This window comes from Homo sapiens, chromosome 14 (assembly GCF_000001405.40).
Source record: "Homo sapiens chromosome 14, GRCh38.p14 Primary Assembly".
NCBI lineage: Eukaryota > Metazoa > Chordata > Mammalia > Primates > Hominidae > Homo > Homo sapiens.
This window is the reverse complement of record NC_000014.9, coordinates 95,572,539-95,590,999: the sequence shown is the minus strand read 5'-3', so window position 1 is coordinate 95,590,999 and position 18,461 is coordinate 95,572,539. Positions and strand designations below refer to the sequence as shown.

General features: G+C 45.9%; 2 long non-coding RNA genes across 4 annotated transcripts, besides 2 other annotated features; both read right to left on the bottom strand.

Annotated features, from left to right (window-relative positions):
* Positions 1-9: 9 nt before the first annotated feature.
* LOC105370643 (uncharacterized) lies at positions 10-2,418 on the bottom strand. 2 transcript variants are annotated; one of them, XR_001750938.1, is made up of 3 exons: positions 2,025-2,418; positions 1,698-1,792; positions 10-251 (listed from the first exon to the last, which is right to left on the bottom strand). It is a non-coding gene; the product is annotated as an uncharacterized LOC105370643 (long non-coding RNA). The 2 variants fall into 2 exon arrangements; XR_001750939.1 differs by having other exon boundaries at positions 10-204.
* Positions 2,419-9,043: 6,625 nt separating this feature from the next.
* LINC02318 (long intergenic non-protein coding RNA 2318) lies at positions 9,044-17,438 on the bottom strand. 2 transcript variants are annotated; one of them, NR_146450.1, is made up of 3 exons: positions 17,316-17,438; positions 10,179-10,232; positions 9,044-9,581 (listed from the first exon to the last, which is right to left on the bottom strand). It is a non-coding gene; the product is annotated as a long intergenic non-protein coding RNA 2318 (long non-coding RNA). The 2 variants fall into 2 exon arrangements; NR_146449.1 differs by lacking the exons at positions 9,044-9,581; positions 10,179-10,232 and adding an exon at positions 12,319-13,571 and having other exon boundaries at positions 17,318-17,438.
* Positions 13,337-14,258: an enhancer, noted in NCBI's record as "NANOG-H3K27ac-H3K4me1 hESC enhancer chr14:96043079-96044000 (GRCh37/hg19 assembly coordinates)". NCBI's record gives its function as "activates a minimal SCP1, AML or CMV promoter by ChIP-STARR-seq in naive and primed H9 embryonic stem cells {active_cell/tissue: H9 hESC(naive and primed)}" and the evidence as "EXISTENCE:reporter gene assay evidence [ECO:0000049][PMID:30033119]".
* Positions 14,259-15,181: an enhancer, noted in NCBI's record as "OCT4-NANOG-H3K27ac-H3K4me1 hESC enhancer chr14:96042156-96043078 (GRCh37/hg19 assembly coordinates)". NCBI's record gives its function as "activates a minimal SCP1, AML or CMV promoter by ChIP-STARR-seq in primed H9 embryonic stem cells {active_cell/tissue: H9 hESC(primed)}" and the evidence as "EXISTENCE:reporter gene assay evidence [ECO:0000049][PMID:30033119]".
* Positions 17,439-18,461: the final 1,023 nt, after the last annotated feature.

Sequence of the window (18,461 nt, the reverse complement as noted above, 5' to 3'; positions counted from 1 at the left end):
TTTGCATTTCTCTAATGACCAGTGATGATGTTTTTTGGCCGCATAAATGTCTTCTTTTGAGAAGTGTCCCCTGAAGAAGGAGGTCTGCAGAGCGTGAGTGCTGGGAAGTTCAGTATAGGGATGAAGATGATGCCTGTGTCAGGAATCAAGCTGACAGCTTGATCTCCTTTCGTCTGCCTCTCATTTCCTGTTTCTCTGCTGGGTCTGAAGGCAGGAGAGGAAAGCAGAGTATTATTTCGTAGCCCCTGGCCCTGAAAAATAGAAATCACAGATGTTTCCCTGCTATGTTACAGCTGTTACAGATATCCCAAAATATCATGTACATTGATCTCTAGTTTGAAATTATGCTAGTTATTAGATTAGATCTGGTTGTTTAGTGTGTAAGAAGCACAAAGGGGCCAGACATGGTGGCTTATACCTGCAACCTCAGCTCTTTGGGAGGCTAAGGTGGGAGGATGGCTTGAGGCCAGGAGTTTGAGATTAGCCTGGGAAACATAGCAAGACCTTGTCTCTACAAAAAATTTTTTAAAAATATTAGCTGCGTATGGTGGTACATGCCTGTAGTCTCAGCTACTTGAGAGGCTGAGGTGGAAGGATCACTTAAGTTCAGGAGGTCAAGGCTGCAATGAGTCATGATTGTGCCACTGCACTCCAGCTTGGATGACAGAGTGAGACCCCGTCAAGAAAGAGGAAGGAGAGAAGGAAGGAAGGAAGGGAGGGAGGGAGGGAAGGAAGGAAAAGAAGCATATAGTAGCAACTATGTTACATATTTTTGTATTTTGATAACTTTATTTTGATATAGTTGGTTTCTTTTTTAATTCAATACATTTTGCATTATGCAGGTAAAACCTTGATTCTGAAAAGAGACTATAGGCTTCACCCGATTGCCCTGAGGGCCCATGGGACAAGAACCCCAGGTTTAGATCAGTTTTGTTTACTTAACAGAGAAACCCAGAAAGAGTTTAAGAAAGCAACCATAATGTTTAAAGTCTTGAAAAGGCACAAGGTGCTGCCTATATGCTAATATTTCTTTAAACCTTTTTATTATTTTCATATTTATAAGGAGCAATTAGATACTATCTAATTACTACCAGCAATTAATTAGGTACATCTAATCAATACCAATAAATGTTTCCTTGTTCACATGTTTCTAGAAAGCCTAGGGAGATAGGATTCCAACAAATCCTCATACACAGTGATGCTGGGAAAGGTTTAACTGGCTCTTCTGAGGGAAGAGCCTACATTTGTCATGTTTACCAATTGCTGTGGTGTAAGTGCTCCCACTATAGTGGATTTCAGGCTACCAACCAACATGACAACCACCGCACACACAGTTGGAAAGAGAGGTGTGCAGCAACACAATATTGTACAGTATAGTATTTCCACCATATAGATACAATCGATGTAAATAAATCCAAAAGCACAGGTAATACTGACATAAAATACAATAACTAGGAAGTGAGGTATTTTGAATATATATTACTTTGGAGTGCAGTGGTACCACCACAGCTCACTACAGCCTCAGCTTCCCAGGCTCAAGCAATCCTCCTGCCTTGGCCTCCCAAAGTGCTGGGATTACAGGTGTGAGCCACTATGCCTGGCCTATATAACTTTGCTTTTAAAATAACCTATTTAATTGTAAATTTATGTAATACATTTTTCAAAATGACCATTTTAATAATCAGCTTGCAAAATACCTCATCATGTAACCATCAGCTCTCACGTGCTGGTTGGGGCAGCTCCAACGCACCACTGTTAGAAACCTTTTCTACCGTACTGAGAGCAGCAACACCTGGGAAAAATTCAGAAGGTGAATTCAGCTGTGGGACAAATTCAAACAGATAACATCTGCTTCTGGCATGCGGCTGACTGGGGAGAGCCCAGGGTAAATGGGGAGCAGGAGGCCGATGCCCCTGCTGCTTCCAAGGGTTTGTTACCAGCACCCTCCCATAATTCAGATCATCCCACCCCCATCATGGGTGCTCAGCACTACAGCCAGGGAGGCCTCGAGGGTCTGACTGTACCTGAGTCAATTCTTGTGCAGACATTAGTCGCCCTGGGGACAGGTCTTCTGAACCGACAGCCACTTGGTGGGATGCTCAGAGAGCCTAAAAGTCCGGTTTCCCTGCCCCTCACCCCACCAAAGTTCATCCCTCTCCTGCCCACATGATCATCAAAGTGTTGCTTTCTGTTCACGTCCAGAAACTCCGGGAAGCGAGGACCTTGTGCTCCTTGCCTGACTCCTGAATGTTCAGGGCCCTCTGTGTTCTGCCGCCGGCTGCTTCTCCTGTTATGACCCACAGCTCTCCTCACTCGGTGACTCGGTCGTCCTTTGTGTGATGATGCCAGCCAGATTCCCCCTTCCCGGGCTTTCTGATGCCCACCTCCGCGCCACGCAGTTCCAGTTCAGTGCCCTGCAGGCCCTGCAGGTGTGTCCCAGACGGAGCTCACCACCTGGAGCTCACCGCCCCTCCCCATCCTCCTCCAGCCCCCAGGAAGGGCGCCAGGTGCCCTGAGGCTCAGCCAGAAATCTCACCCTCACCCCACCCTGTCCCCTCTCATCCTCACACCCCCTCCTCATCCTGGTCTCCCCTCATCCTTCCCCCGTCTTCATCCTCATCCCCTCCCCAGCTATACCTTTTTCTCCTTGACCTGCCCTCCGTGCCTCAGCCACTCACTGCACCCAGGCCTGGACCTCCAGGGCACCCTGCGAGGTCATCCCACCCCCTATCACGGGTGTTCAGCACTGCAGCCAGGGAGCTCCTTCATTCCCTTCTCTCACACCCTGGCTCCGTCCCTCCCCACTCCCGCCCTCACCACCCGTAGCCTTTACACTCTGCTCGCTCATTCCACCTTTCAGAGGCTCTTCCCTCCACTCACCACCTCTTGCCTCCAGTCTCCTGGCCATCTCTTGCCTATCCTTTATGGCTTCCACTCCTGCCATCTCCTCCAGGCAGCCTTCTGTGATCCGTCAATCCGGGTTAGGAGCCCTTTCTCCATGTTTCCATATCACCTGACCTGAGCAGCACCCACAGGACTATATATCATAATTGCCCACTTTTTTTCTCTGCACCTTCCCCTAGACCATTAGTTCTGGCAGGCCAGGGACTTTGTCATGTTCATACGGGATCCTCATGCCTTACACAGTGCCTGGCGGCTATTAGGTGCTCATCAAATCCTTGTTGATAGAAGTCGAGTTTTGCTAACGGTAAGAGGCAGAATCTTCACAGTTCTTTATCCTTGGCACCATGTCAGGCACTTCATAAATAAAAGCTCATCAAGGGCCAGGCGCAGTGACTCACGCCTCTAATCCTAGCACTTTGGGAGGCCGGGGCGGGCGGATCACGAGGTCAGGAGATCGAGACCATCCTGGCTAACACAGTGAAACCCTGTCTCTACTAAAAATACAAAAAATTAGCTGGGCATGGTGGCGGGTGCCTGTAGTCCCAGCTACTCGGGAGGCTGAGGCAGGAGAATTGCTTGAACCCGGGAAGGCGGAGGTTGAAGTGAGTGGAGATCGCGCCACTGCACTCCAGCCTGGAAGACAGAGTGAGACTCCATCTCAAAAAAAAAAAAAAAAAAGAAAGAAAAGAAAACTCATCGAGCTCTCACAACAATCCCATGAGAGAGGCACAACTCTTATTCCCACTTTACAGATGAGAAGACAGTGGCATGGAAAAATTAAGTGATTCACACAGGTTCACAGGGCTGTTAGTGGCACAGCTGGGATGTGAGTCGCGGCAGCCTGACTCCACAATCTGTGCTGATCATAACCGCTGTGCTGCCCAGCCACGTGGGGAGTGGGAAGAACATAAAGGCCGGGGTGCTTGTCAACTGAGGGGACAGCCCCCAGGGAGGAGGGAGCAGAGCCTGCATCAAAACGAGGGCAGGCCAGGAGTTCCAGGCTGCAGTGAGCTGTAATCCCGCCACTGCACTCCAGCCTGGGCGACAGAGCAAGACCTTGTCTTTTTTTTTAAAAAAAAAAAAAGGGGGGTGGGGGTGGGAATGATAACAACTGACATGTGACATGTACATGTTCCTTCCACAACACGTGGGGATTATGGAAACTACAATTCAAGATGAGATTTGGATGGGGACACAGCCAAACCATATCATGTAGTTAATAACCATCTTACAGGCAGATATTTGGAGAGTATGTAAATATCTCGTTTCTCATCAAACTTTCACCCCCTCATTTTTATCTGCCATTGGTAAGTCTTACCAGCATCCATTGTAACTACGATGGTTGTCAAATGGTGAGATGCAGTGTAATTAGTTTCCTGTTGTGGCTATAAAAAATTAGCATACGTTTATTGCCCTAAAACAGGAAAAACGTATTATCTTACAGTTCTGGATGTGAGAGTCCCAAAACAAGTCTCACTGAGTTATAATCAAAGTTTCTGCAGGGCTGTGTTCCTTCCGGGGCTCTAGGAAAGAACCCATCTCCTTGTCTTTTCTGGTTCTAGGGTTGGTCCTCCTTCCTCAGCCTGTGACCACATCCCTCATCCCTCTGACCAGTGATTCCATCACTGCACAGCCTCCTCTCACTCTGACCCTCCTATCTCCCTCTTATGTGGACTTTGGTGATTATGCTGCGCCCACCCAGATAATCCAGGATCATCTTTCCCTCTCAAGATTCTTAGTTTAATCACATCTGCAAAGCTCCTTCTGCCATGGAAAGTAACATATTCACAGGTTCCAGATATTAGGAGGTGGACAACTTTGCAGGCTGGGGGTGACATTATTCTGCCTACCACATATAGTAATTTCTTAGAAGAGTGCTTCGCTATTTTCTATGGTTCACCCACACTCTGCAAGCATTGATGTGTTCAAGAAGGAATGACTGCAACCACCCAGTGACTGTAAGATGCATTCCAGTCTCAGAGATGTTGAAATGTGATGATAAGCGCCTCACCCACATAATGAGGACATGATGGGGATCCCTCCCATTGATGTCTTTCGTGCCATGGGTTGCTCACCTTTCAGCAAGGTGTCTGAGCACCTCCTGGGCATCAGCGATTGCACTATATGTTGGGTGTGCAGAGATGAGACACACAGCTCTTACTCTTGAGGGGGTTCTATCTTTCAGTGAGAGAGACAGAAGAAAGTCAAAGAAGTGATTTAGCACAGAGGAGAGAAGTGGGAAGAATGAAAATTTAATTTCCTTATTAATCTGGGGTGAGGGATTGTTCAGCTGGGAGGGGCTCTGCAAATGTCCATCCAGGCAGGTGGGCAGAGTCAGGGTAGCCCCAGAGAGGCCAGGTTTCAACCCAGTAGCCTGGCTGCAGAGCCTCAGGCGTAACCCCTACCAAAGGGTCTTCCTGTTTGGTGAAGCTGATGTGGAGGAGATTCTTGCAAATGTAAAGTGACCTTGCTGGGTTTGGTGGCTCAAACCCATAATCTCAGCACTTTGGGAGGCCAAAGTGGGTGGATCGCCTGAGGTCAGGAGTTTAAGACCAGCCTGGCCAACATGGTGAAACCTTGTCTCTGTTAAAAATACAAAAATTAGGTGGGCATGGTGGCGCATGTCTGTACTCCCAGCTATTTGGGAGGCTTCATTTTAGATCCAGGCCAAGAGGCTCATTGTGTGGGCTGATATGGTTTGGCTGTGTCCCCACACAAATCTCAACTTGAATCCTATCTCCCAGAATTCCTATGTATTGTGGGAGGGACCCAGGGGGAGGTAATTGAAGCATGGGGGCTGGTCTTTCCTATGTTATTCTCATGATAGTGAATAAGTCTCACGAGATCTGATGGGTTTATCAGGGGTTTCTGCTTTTGCTTCTTCCTCATTTTTTTTTCAGCCTCCCACCATGATTCTGAGGCCTCCCCAGCCATGTGGAAACTGTAAGTCCAATTAAACCTCTTTTTCTTCCCAGTCTTGAGTATGTCTCTATCAGCAGCGTGAAAATGAACTAATACAGTAAATTGGTACCAGTAGAGTGGGGCATTGCTGAAAAGATACCTGAAAATGTGGAAGCGATTTTGGAACTGGGTAACAGGCAGAGGTTGGAATCGTTTGGAGGGCTCAGAATAGGACAGGAAAATGTGGGAAAATTTGAAACTTCCTAGAGACTTCGTGAATTGCTTAGACAAAAATGCTGATAGTGATATGAACAATAAGGTCCAGGCTCAGGTGGTCTCAGATGGAGGTGAGGAACTTTTTGGGAACTGGAGCAAAGGTGACTCTTGTTATGTTTTAGCAAACAGACTGGTGGCATTTTGCTCCTGCCCTAGAGATTTGTGGAACTTTGAACTTGAGAGAGATGATTAAGGGTATCTGGCGGAAGACACTTCTAAGCAGCAAAGCATTCAAGAGGTGACTTGGGTGCTGTTAAAGGCATTCAGTTTTATACGGGAAGCAGAGCATAAGAGTTTGGAAAATTTGCAGCCTGACAATGTGATAGAAAAGAAAAACCCATTTTCTAAGAAGAAATTCAAGCCAGCTGCAGAAAGTTGCATAAGTAATACGGAGCTGAATGTTAATCCCCAAGACAATGGGGAAAATGTCTCCAGGGCATGTCAGAGGTCTTTACAGCAGCCCCTACCATCACAGGCCTGGAGGCCCAGGAGGAAAAAGTGGTTTCATGGGCTGGGCCCAGGGTCCCCGTGCTGTTTGCAGCTTAGGGACTTGGTGCCCTGTGTTGCAGCCACTCCAACTGTGGCTGAGAGGGGCCAATGTAGAGCTCAGGCTGTGGCTTCAGAGGGTGGAAGCCCCAAGCCTTGGAAGGTTCCACGTGGCATTGAGCTTGCTGGTGCACAGAAGTCAAGAATTGAGGTTTGGGAACCTCCATGTAGGTTTCAGAAGATGTATGGAAACACCTGGATGCCCAGGCAAAAGTTTGCTGCAGGGGAGGGGCCCTCATGGATAACTTCTGCTAGGGCAGTGCGGAAGGGAAATGTGGGGTCGGAGCCCCCACACAGGGTCCCCACTGGGGCACTGCACAGTGGAGCTGTGAGAAGAAGGCCACTGTCCTCCAGACCCCAGAATGGTAGATCCACCAACAGCTTGCACCGTGCACCTGGAAAAGCCGCAGACACTCAACACCAGCTAGTGAAAGCAGCCAGTACTGAGGCTATACCCTGCAAAGCCACAGGGGTGGAGTTGCTCAAGACCATGGGAACCGACCTCTTGCATCAGCATGACCTATATATGAGACCTGGAGTCAAAGGAGATGATTTTGGAGTTTTAAAATTAGGCTGCCCTGCTGAATTTCAAACTTGCCTGGGCCCTGTAACCCCTTTGTTTTGGCCAATTGCTCCCATTTGGAATGGGTGTATTTACCCAATACCTGTACCCCCCATTGTATCTAGGAAGTAACTAGCTTGCTTTTGATTTTGTAGGCTCACGGGCAGAAGGAACTTGCTTTGTCTCATATGAGACTTTGGACTGTGGGCTTTTGGGTTAATGCTGAAATGAGTTAAGACTTTAGGGGACTTTTGGGAAGGTATGATTGGTTTTGAACGTGAGGAGATGAGATTTGGATGGGCCAGGGACAGGATGATATGGTTGTCTCTGTGTCCCCCCTCCCCAAATCTCAACTTGAATTATATCTCCCAGAATTCCCATATGTTGTGGGAGGGACCCAGTGGGAGGTAATTGAATCACGGGGGCTGGTCTTCCCCTTGTTGTTCTCATGATAGTGAACATGTCTCATGAGATCTGACGGTTTCTCAGTGGTCTCTGCTTTTGCTTCCTCCTCATTTTTCTCTTGCTGCTCCCATGTAAGAAGTGCCTTTGACCTCCTGCCATGATTCTGAGGCCTCTCCAGCCACATGCAACTGTAAGTCCATTTAAACTTCTTTTTGTTCCCAGTTTCAGGTATGTCTTTATCAGCAGCATGAAAAACGAACTAATACAGAGTGTGATGGTCAATACTGAGTGTCCACTTGATTGGACTGAAGGATACAAAGTATTAATCCTGGGTGTGTCTGTGAGAGTCTTGCCAAAAAAGACTAACATTTGAGTCAGTGGGCTGGGGAGGGCAGATCCACCCTTAACCTGGTGGGCACAATGTAATCAGCTGCTGGCAGATATAAAGCAGGCAGAAAAATGTGAAAAGCAGAGACTAGCCTAGCCTCTCATCCTGAATCTTTCTCCCTTGCTGGATGCTTCCTGCCCTGGAATATCGGACTCCAAGTTCTTCCGTTTTGGGACTCAGGCTGGTTCTCCTTGCTCCTCAGCTTGCAGACGGCCTATTGTAGGACCTTGTGATCATGTAAGTTAATACTTAATAAATTCCCATATATATATAAAGTATTTTTATATATAATATGTTATATACATGTTATACATGTTATACATGTTATATATACACACACGTGTGTGTACATATACGTATATGCATACACACACGTGTGTGTACATATACGTATATGCATACACACACGTGTGTGTACATATATACATATATATGTTATATACATATTATATATATTATATACATATATATGTTATATAACATATATGTTATATATATATATATATATGTTCTGTCTCTCTAGAGAACCCTAATACACAAGGCTTCCCTCCTGGAGCAAGGACTCCATTCCAGAATGCAAACACAGCTTTGAACTTTGAAAGGAAAGTATAGCCTGGTATAAAAATTATTCTATAGACCAGTTTCCTCTGGACACCCCATCACACTTGTTGAGTATGTAGTGTGTATCAGGCACTTTCCAGGCAATGCAAAAATGATGATATCAAGAGGTCTGGTTATTCATGTTGGCATGGTACATCGCACGGTGACCTCATTAACCCTCATAGCACCCCTGTGGCTCATGTCATATTCCCACCCCATTTTACAGATGGCTTGGTGGCTGGGCTGTGGGCCCCTTAGCTCAAATTCCAGGCTGTTTTCTCTCCTTTCTCCTCTTGAACATTCTGGGAAGTTTTACAATCCATTCCTACTATGAGGAGCAGTGAGGAAAGTTGAGGTTGGAATATAATATATATACATATTCACTCCCAAATTTCAAGGGCCCACTGTGTGCCAGCTTCCACGCCATGCATTTAGGGTATCGAAGCAGACAAAACATCTATTGCCTTTGCTGAGCTCAAAGTGGGAAGTCAGGCAGTTGAGGGGAGGACCCAGAGTGGGCACGGTTAGGGGTGGGGTGACATGATGGGTTGTGAAGTGACCAGTCTAAATAAAGACACAGAGGCCAAGTGCATACCAGAGGCACCATCCAAGGGCAGAGGGGACCGAGAGCCTTTGTCTCAATCGCCTCTGAAGTTCATCAGCTGAGACTGCACTTGGGTGCTTTTCAATGGACATCTGCTTTCATGAAGATGCCTCAGAGTAGAATGAGGAGGTCACTGTGGGGTGCAGCCTGCTGCTCATAGAGGCCCAAGACCATCTGCGCAAATGATAGTCTCCAATGTTCAGTGAACAAGCTCCAGACTGAGGGTCACTGCGTCCACCACCCAAGTCCTTTAGTAGGCATCAGGCTTTCTCTGAGAGGAGGTGCAGATGTCCTCTTCTCTCCTTCCACGGCTAAGGTCCAGGGACTGGAGGCTGGTCCCATTAGAATTCCACCTGGAGCCTGCTGCAGGGATGCTGAATGCAGGCATTTAAAATCTGTGGGTGTAAGAATTGCTGGCTGTTCTCCCAAGGCAATCTAAATGTCAGTAGATTGAAGTCCTCAAGTGTTCTAGTCTGCTAACAAGGGACTAAATCACCTCTGAGAAACCAATTATGGTTCTGTAATAGCATCCCCAGGACTGAACCCCAAGTCAAATCCACCCACACATAGCCTAACAGGGTTTGACACCTGATCCATTCCCGGCGTCATTGAACAAACATTGGTGGAGTGCCCCTCACAGGTCGAGCAAGGTGTGGGCTCCCAGGCAGGGTGCTGCATAAGACCAAAGGGGGCTGGTACAAACCAGAAATGGCTTTATTTTCCCCAAACACTCTTTTGAATGTCCTTGTTCCTTTCCCAAAGGTCTCTCAGCAAATCCCACAGCTTTCCAATCACTTTCTCTTATTATAAAGTCCAGCTCAGCCCAAAATTTCCCTCTCATGTGTAGTCTACTTCTCATTTACACCCAAGATACTTTGAGTAGGGCAGTGCACGGTCTGCTCCATAAACTCCAGAGGATAAATCCAGGAGCGTCCTGGTTCCTCCAGAACTAGCACCAGTCTTGGAGCAAGAAGCCCAGCCTTGGAACTTACCAGCTGTGTTACTTTGTGGAAGTGACTCAGCCTCTCGGATCTTCAACCCGTCTTCTGTAAAAGAGGGAAAGTATTATTTCCTCTTTCCCCACCCTGGAGCTGTGGGGACACCAAAGTTGATAAATGGAAGGGACCCAGTGGGAGGTAAATGAATCAGGTGGGGCTGTTACCCCCATGCTGCTGTTCTCATGATAGTGAGTGAGTTCTCACAAGACTTGATGGTTTTCTCAAGGGCTTTTCCCCCTTTGGCTCAGCACTTCTCCTTGATGACGACGACATGTGAAGAAGGACGTGTTTGCTTCTCCTTCTGCCATGATTGTAAGTTTCCTGAGGCCTCCCCAGCCATGCTGAACTGTGAGTCAATTAAATATCTTTCCTTTATAATTTACCCAGTCTCGGGTATGTCTTTAGTAGCAGCATGAGAACAGACTAATACACTACAAAAGGAAAAACTGTTACGTGACAGCAGTGAAATCTGGCAGATACCACCTTAGCCAAGTGATCAAAATTAGCCTCCTCTAAATGGGACAAATTGAAATCATGTGTCTCTTGACATACTAAGCTGAGAAGGCCATATATGTACCTTTGTGGTAACTGTGCCCCGCAAAATGCAAAACCTGAATCTACTCATAAATACCAGACAAATCTGAACTGAAAGACTTCATACAAAATGACTGATCTGTACTCTTGAAAAAAATATCAAGATTGTGAAAGATAAAAGAAGTCTGAGGAGCTGTTCCAGATTGAAAGAACAGACACAACAACTAAATGTAATGTATGATCCTGGATTGAATTCTGGACCAGAAAAAAATATACACGCATATTTATTTATTGTATAATAATTAACATATAAATATTATATTTAACGAATATATTTATATTATTTATGTATTGTAATAGACATTATTGATAAAATGGTGAAATCTGAATAAAATCTGTAGGTTATATAATAGTATTGTATCAATGTTAATTTCTTGGTTTTAATCATTGTTCTATGGTTAGATTAGAAAATGTCCTTTTTTTTGGAGACAGAGTCTCACTCTCTCCCCAAGGCTGGAGAGCAGTGGCGTGATCTCGGCTCACTGCAACCTCTGCCTCCCAGGTTTAAGCGATTCTCATGCCTCAGCTTCCCGAGTAGCTGGGATTACAGGCGCCCACCACCACACCTGGCTAATATTTTTATATTTTTAGTAGAGACGGGTTTTGCCATGTTGGCCAGGCTGGTCTTGAACTCCTGACCTCAGGTGATTTGCCCACCTCAGCCTTCCAAAGTGCTGGGATTACAGGCATGAGCCACTGTGCCTGGCCAGAAAATGTCCTTTTTTTTGAAATCATGCTGAAGTATTTAGGAATAAAGGGACGTCATGTCTGCCGCTTACCTGAACTGATTCAGAAAATAATAACGTACATGGACACATACATGCATACATACACACACACAGATAATGATAAGGTGATGTAATCAGATAAAAAATGTGGGAATCTGCTGAAGGGTATAAAGGAAATTTTTGTACTATTCTGGCAATTTTTCTCTAAATTTGAAATTGTTCCAAAATATAAAGTTTTTTTTTTTTTAATATTGCATTGCCAACACCCTTGATCACACAGAGGATATCTGTAACTCTGAGTTGGAAAGTTATTTAAAAGAAGTAGGATTTCTCGGCTGGGCGCGGTGGCTCAAGCCTGTAATCCCAGCACTTCGGAAGGCCGAGGCGGGCGGATCACTGGGTCAGGAGATCAAGACCATCCTGGCTAACACAGTGAAACCCCGTCTCTACTAAAAATACAAAAAATTAGCTGGGCATGGTGGCGGGCGCCTGTAGTCCCAGCTACTCGGGAGGCTGAGGCAGGAGAATAGTGTGAACCCGGGAGGCGGAGCTTGCAGTGAGCCGAGATCGCGCCACTGCAATCCAGCCTGGGCGACAGAGCAAGACTCCTTCTCAAAAAAAAAAAAAAAAAAAAAAAAAGAAGTAGGGTTTCTCTATTGAGATAATCATATGATTAAAAACAATATTTAAAAAAAGAAGAAGGGTTTGAAGGTGAAGATATTTTTAAAATAATTAACCAATTTATTTCACTCATATTTTCTTTTCTATATATGCAAAAGCACAATAAATAAGCAAAGCCTATGTCTAACTGAGTTTAAAAGAGCTCTTTATAATGAGTTTACAACAAAAATTCTAAATGCGAAGGAAATACTGTATTATAGTTTAATAGTTAGCTGTTTTTCTTTCTTCGTGGTACATAAAATAGTGATACATCCTTGAATTATAAAAACAAAAAAAAGTACATAAATATTTTTAACTCTGACTTTGCCACTGATTAAATGTGTGACCTTGGGCAAGTCCTGTGCACATGTTTTCCCCATTAGTAAGACTGGATGACAATATTTACTGTGCAGAGCTGTTAGTGTTATCAAACCCCAAATTTTGGGTTCATGTACCTGATATACAGCAAACCTAACACCGACACATCAGCACTTAGAAGCAGAGGAAGGTTTATTTGACTCGGCTAAAGCAAGAAGGCAGGAGAAGCAGCCTCTCAAATCCAATCTGCCTTTTAACATAACTGGGGGCTTTTATGAGCAAAGCAGGTATGCAGGAGATGGATTCCCCCAATACTCAAAACTGTTTGAGTTCCTCGGCCCAAACAAACTCCTAGATGCTATCAAGGAGGTCTGCATGACCTAAGGATCATTGTTCTTTGAAAGAAAAACAGTTCATCAATCTTGCAGGCAGCCCTGGGGGTTAGGGTAGGAAGTTAATCAATTACTAGTGACTTCCCTCGTGCAAGCAAGCATGCACGGAGGAAGAAAAGGACAAGGAAATAAGTAAAGTGAACATCTTATGATCTTTATAATAAAGGCTTAATTACATTGGGAGGATTAAAACATCATTGTAACAATAATACCAGTAACAATGACATTTAAGCCAGTGTGTCTACTTGTCAGGCACTGCACTATCAAATACCAGCAGCAAGTCTGGCACAAAATAGATGCTCAATAAATGGTAGCTATTGAATCAGGGCCACACATTTAATTGATATTATGATCAAGATGTTCAAGGGAAAAAATACTATTACTTATTTAATGTGGAACAAGTCTAGTCTTTCTCTTGAGCTCCCACCTGCTGGTTAGGAGGCAACAATGTTATTTGGATCCTGTTTAGAGTATTCTCAGAGCTGAGCCCTCAAATTGTATCAGTCTTACTTATGCACCTGTCCTGTTGGCCGTCCTTGTGCTGCCCCTGACACCTGCCTGCTCCCTAAGGCGATGTGGGGAGAGGAGCATATACATTCCAACGTGCTGTAAGGATAGAGATCCTGGCCGGTCCCTGTGAGGCAGGAGAATAGGGCCTGGAGGCCATGAACGTAAGGCTGATCCATGCTGACTTCCTAGAACAAAATCAAATGGAATATAAATGGCTTTGTAACCTCACTTCATCCTCTCCATTTACACCGTTTACACTTTGTAACTTCACATTCATCCTCTCCATTTACATAAACCGCACACACAGTGACATCCTCTCCATTTACATAGACCACACACGCCAAGTGACATCCGCTCCATTTACACTTTGTAACTTCATATTCGTCCTCTGCATTTACATAGACCGCACACACCAAATAACATCCTCTCCATTTACATATTCTGGGCACATTCTGAGTAAATGACTTTGTAACTTATCTTCATTGTCTTCATATACATAGAACATATACCAAGTAACCAGTGGAAAACGTCTAGAGAGTATTGAAACCCCAGAAAATTCTGTAACCAGGGCTCATGAGCCCCTATGCTCCGGCCTGCTCCCACACTGTGGAGTGTACTATCATTTTCAATAAATCTGTGCTTTTGCTTTCCTCACTTTGTGCGTTTTGTCCAATTATTTGTTCAAGACGCCAAGAACCTGGACACCTTCCACCAGTAACACCTGGATGTGCCCCTGGCATGCATGGGTCCCCACAGTCACCTCTGCCCCTGGAGCCCCTGGGGGCCAGGGTAACTCTCAGTCTGATCTTGGGGCTTGTTAGAGGTGCAGGATCCCTCTTGGATTGCCATTGCTGTCACCTCCAGCCAGCCCGTTGGCCTGAGTGCCACCTTCCCTTGCCCAGGCCAGGCCCTTGGGCAGTTCATTCAGCCTCTGTACCACTCAGGAGAAAGCGAAAACTTAAGGTTCCTCAGCTGACCCTCCTGGCACCTTTCTGAAGGTGGGCTCCAGGGCCAGAGGCAACAGCCTCCTCCTTGCCATGAATATCCTCATGGATCCAACACCCTATCTTCCAGACTTGGGCCCAGGAAGAAAAATCAGAAAACAAGCTTCTGCCTCATTGGCCTTCCAACCTCTAGTACCTCCTCCTTTCTCTCCCATGACTCTCTAGGTTCCCATGGGGCTGGCTGCTCTCCCAGAGCCTCCCTGACTCCACTCTCAATGGTGGCCTGGTCTTCCCCAAGCAGACCATGGGGATCCCTAAGAGCCTCTAGGCTTTGTCCTTGATATGCTAATGGAGGAGATAAAGGAATCCCAGCACTTCTTCTCTTCTCAAAGCTTTCAAAACCAGGTCTCACACAGCCTCTCCTGCCTTGGGACAATAAGCCTTCTGGCTCCCCTGGAGGGAGCAGCTGCAAGAAAACCAAATTCAAAGCAAGAAGTGAAAATGCAGTGGTTTAAATTTACAGAAAGATTCTCGTTTGTACATTATTATGATAATTATGGCCCTGGGAATCCGGGTGAGGTCTCCAGAGCTTCAGTACACACTTCAGGCAGAGCATTTGCAAATTCATGGTCTTAAATCCTTAGGACAGAAAGATGTGAAGGAAAGCCAGGGAAGCAGAAGTCCTTAGGAGACCTGGGTCCTGAACTCTCCAGAGCTCATGGATCTTCTTGGATAATGAAATTCAGGGGTTGGAAGAGGCTATTTCTAAGGGAGGGCTTTCAACTCGGAGAGTCTCTGGCCAAAGGTTCTAATTCCAGTACTTCCAATTTTTGATTAACACTGCCAAATACAATCACAATTTTAAAATTCAGGGTACTTAAGGAGTTTAGGATATTAGGTTCTGCCAGAATAGCCTCTGCAGGGATGTGGAATGGCTGCATCCATCTGCCCAGGAGAAAGAGGGATGGGTACTGGGGAGGGTTCATTAGCAGGAAACTTTCCAGGGCAGATGAACACGAGGACAGAGCCCAGCTGAAGGGAACCAACAGGGAGTAGGAAAATCCAGAGCAAGATGGCAGATGTGAGGAACTGAGTGGGGTCAGTCTGGAGAATCTCACCAGCAAGTACAGAACCAGTTTTTGTCCCTTCCCATGCTCAGCAAGCCAGTAGCATGTTGATCTGCTAAAATAGCTGCCTACAGGATTTTCTGCCTCAATTCCTGACCCCTCCAATCACTTCCCCACCCTACAGCCAGAGAACCCACCACCTTTTGGGATCTTCCCATTGATCAGGATAAAGATCATGGCTGACAAGGCCCTGCATGGTCAAGGCCCAGCGGTTCTCAACCCTGACTGCATATAGGAATCATATTGGCCCAATCCCAAGGGATTCTGATTCAGTTAATCTGGGATGAGGTCTGAGCATCAGTATATATATAATATACTAATATATATTTATATATACTGGTGTATATATACATGTATACTGATATATTTTATCAGTATATATTTTTATTGATTTTTCTATATTATATATAATATATATCTATAAAAATATAAAATATATCTATATATTTAAATATTTGTTTCTATATACTGATATATTAAATATATATTTATACTGATATATACTTATATCAGTATAAACATATTAAATATATATTATATATAAATATATACAAACTATATGTTTATATATATTTAATCTCCAGGTGATTCTAACTGGCACTAAGGATTGCCAGCCCCCTGCTTTGGCCCTGCAAACTTCAACCTTATCTCATGACAGTCCCCCTCTCGGTTTCTTTGTGGCACAGCAACATTGCCCACTTTGCCCCAGTCCTTTTTTTTTTTTTTGAGACGGAGTCTCGCTCTGTCGCCCAGGCTGGAGTGCAGTGGTGCAATCTCGGCTCACTGCAAGCTCCGCCTCCCAGGTTCACGCCATTCTCCTGCCTCAGCATCCTGAGTAGCTGGGACTACAGGGGCCCGCCACCACGCCCGGCTAATTTTGTTTTTGTATTTTTAGTAGAGACGGGGTTTCACCGTGTTAGCCAGGATGGACTCCATCTCCTGACCTCTTCATCCGTCCACCTCGGCCTCCCAAAGTGCTGGGATTACAGGAGTGAGCCACCGTGCCCGGCCTGCCCCAGTACTTGTAATATGTCAATCTGCCTTTCCCTCGGGCCATTACACTTCTTTATCTCCTATGCCCGGAAAGCCTAGTCATTTCTGAGACCTTGACTCAAACACCCCTTCTGGAGGGAAACCTTCCTTGGCCTGCTGGACTAGACTATGTTATCCTCTTACACGCTGTATCCTCCAGGGTCAAATTAGGAAAACAGAGGCCACTTTAGGTGTTTCAAGTAGAAAGAATTTAAATCCTAGAAGTCGGTTACACGGGTGAGGAAAATGATGAGAAGCCCAATGGGACGGTGTAGCAATGACAGTGAGCTGCTGCCACCCCTGAGGCTGGAAGGGTAACAGACATTTGCCAGGAGCTAGAAGCTGGGGCAGCCTGGTAGGAGCTAGAATACAATGAGAGCTGCCCCCTGGGGGATGGAACCACAGAGGGAGGGTCTCTCTGAGGAGACATAGATTCAAGGAAGAGATACAGCCATTGCAGGAGATGCCAACAAAAGCAGAGAGAGAGAAAGAAGCAGAAAAGGAAAGAAGGAAGGTTTCTTCCTTCCTCCCACCTTTGAGTCTCCCACTAGTGCTTCCCATTAGCCCAAACTACCAAGAACCCAGATGGCAAAGGAGCCCGGGAAATCTAATACTACATGATACCGAGCAAAGCCGATGTTCCAGCTGGCTGCGTCCATTACAGTAGGTAGTCAGGCAGACATAAGCAGGGCAGGAGAGGGCTCCTCCCGACCAGGAATGTCAGCTGACCGTCAGGTGATGGTCAGGTGGTCATTAACTGTCTCTCTAAAATAATAATTGGTTACAGCTAGCATCAGGGAAGGGCAGTCTCCCAAAAGATAGAAACACCTGAAACTGATGATCAGCAGCTTCCCAGTAAGATCTCAGGAGTTGGATGCGTGGGCTCAAGCTTGAACACTGAGAGGCAAAATGGCGGAGTTTAACTGGTATATGCCCTTCGTCTAGAAACTTTCAGCTGGTAAGGGAAGAACGCCTTAAGTGAGCATGCGCACAACTCCAGTTAAACACACTGCGCATGTTCCTGTCCCAGGTGCTGGCAGACCACTGTGCATGCAGACAGCCCACCTCAGGGAAGAATCAGGGGAGAAGAGACGTAGACCTCACAAGCATGCCAACAGATAAAACCCCAAGTCAAGAGTCAAACCATGCACTTGAATCAAGTCACCCACTTGGCCCTCTTTCAAGTGTATTTTACTGTCTTTCATTCCTGCTCTGAAACTTTCATTTTTTATTATTTTGATTTTATTGATTGATTGAGATGGAGTCTCCCTCTGTCGCCCAGGCTGGAGGGCAGTGGTGCAATCTCTGCTCACTGCAGCCTCCGCCTCCTGGGTTCAAGTGATTCTCCTGCCTCAGCCTCCTGAGTAGCGGGGATTATAGGTGCCTACCACCATGCCCAGCTAATTTTTGTATTTTTAATAGAGACGGGGTTTCACCATGCTGGCCATGGTTGGCCAGGCTGGTCTGGAACTCCTGACCTCAAGTGATCCGCCCACCTCGGCCTCCCCTAGGATTTCAGTTGTGAGCCACCTGGCCCAGTGCCTGGTCTGCTCTAAAACTTTTAAATAAACTTTCACTCCTGCTCTAAAACTTGCCTCAGTCTCTCACTCTGCCTTATGCCCCTCGACTGAATTCTTTCTTCTGAGGAGGCGAGAATTGAGGTTGCTACTGACAAGTATGGATTTACTGCTACTAACACATCAAACCACCCCAAAACGGAGTCGCTTAAAACAATTTATAATTATCACCCATGGTTCTGTGGGTTGATGTGGCTCAGCTAGGGAGTAAGTTCTCACATGGGCCCTCTCACAAGGTTTCAGTCATATGGCGATCTAGGTGCAGTCACCTGAAGGCTCAACTGGGCCTGCTGTCCAAGTTGGTGCAGACACAATGCTGTCAGTTGACACTGGCTGTCAGCTGGAAGCTCAGCTGGAGCTATAGGAACCAAAAGTCCCACACATGGCCTTTGTGT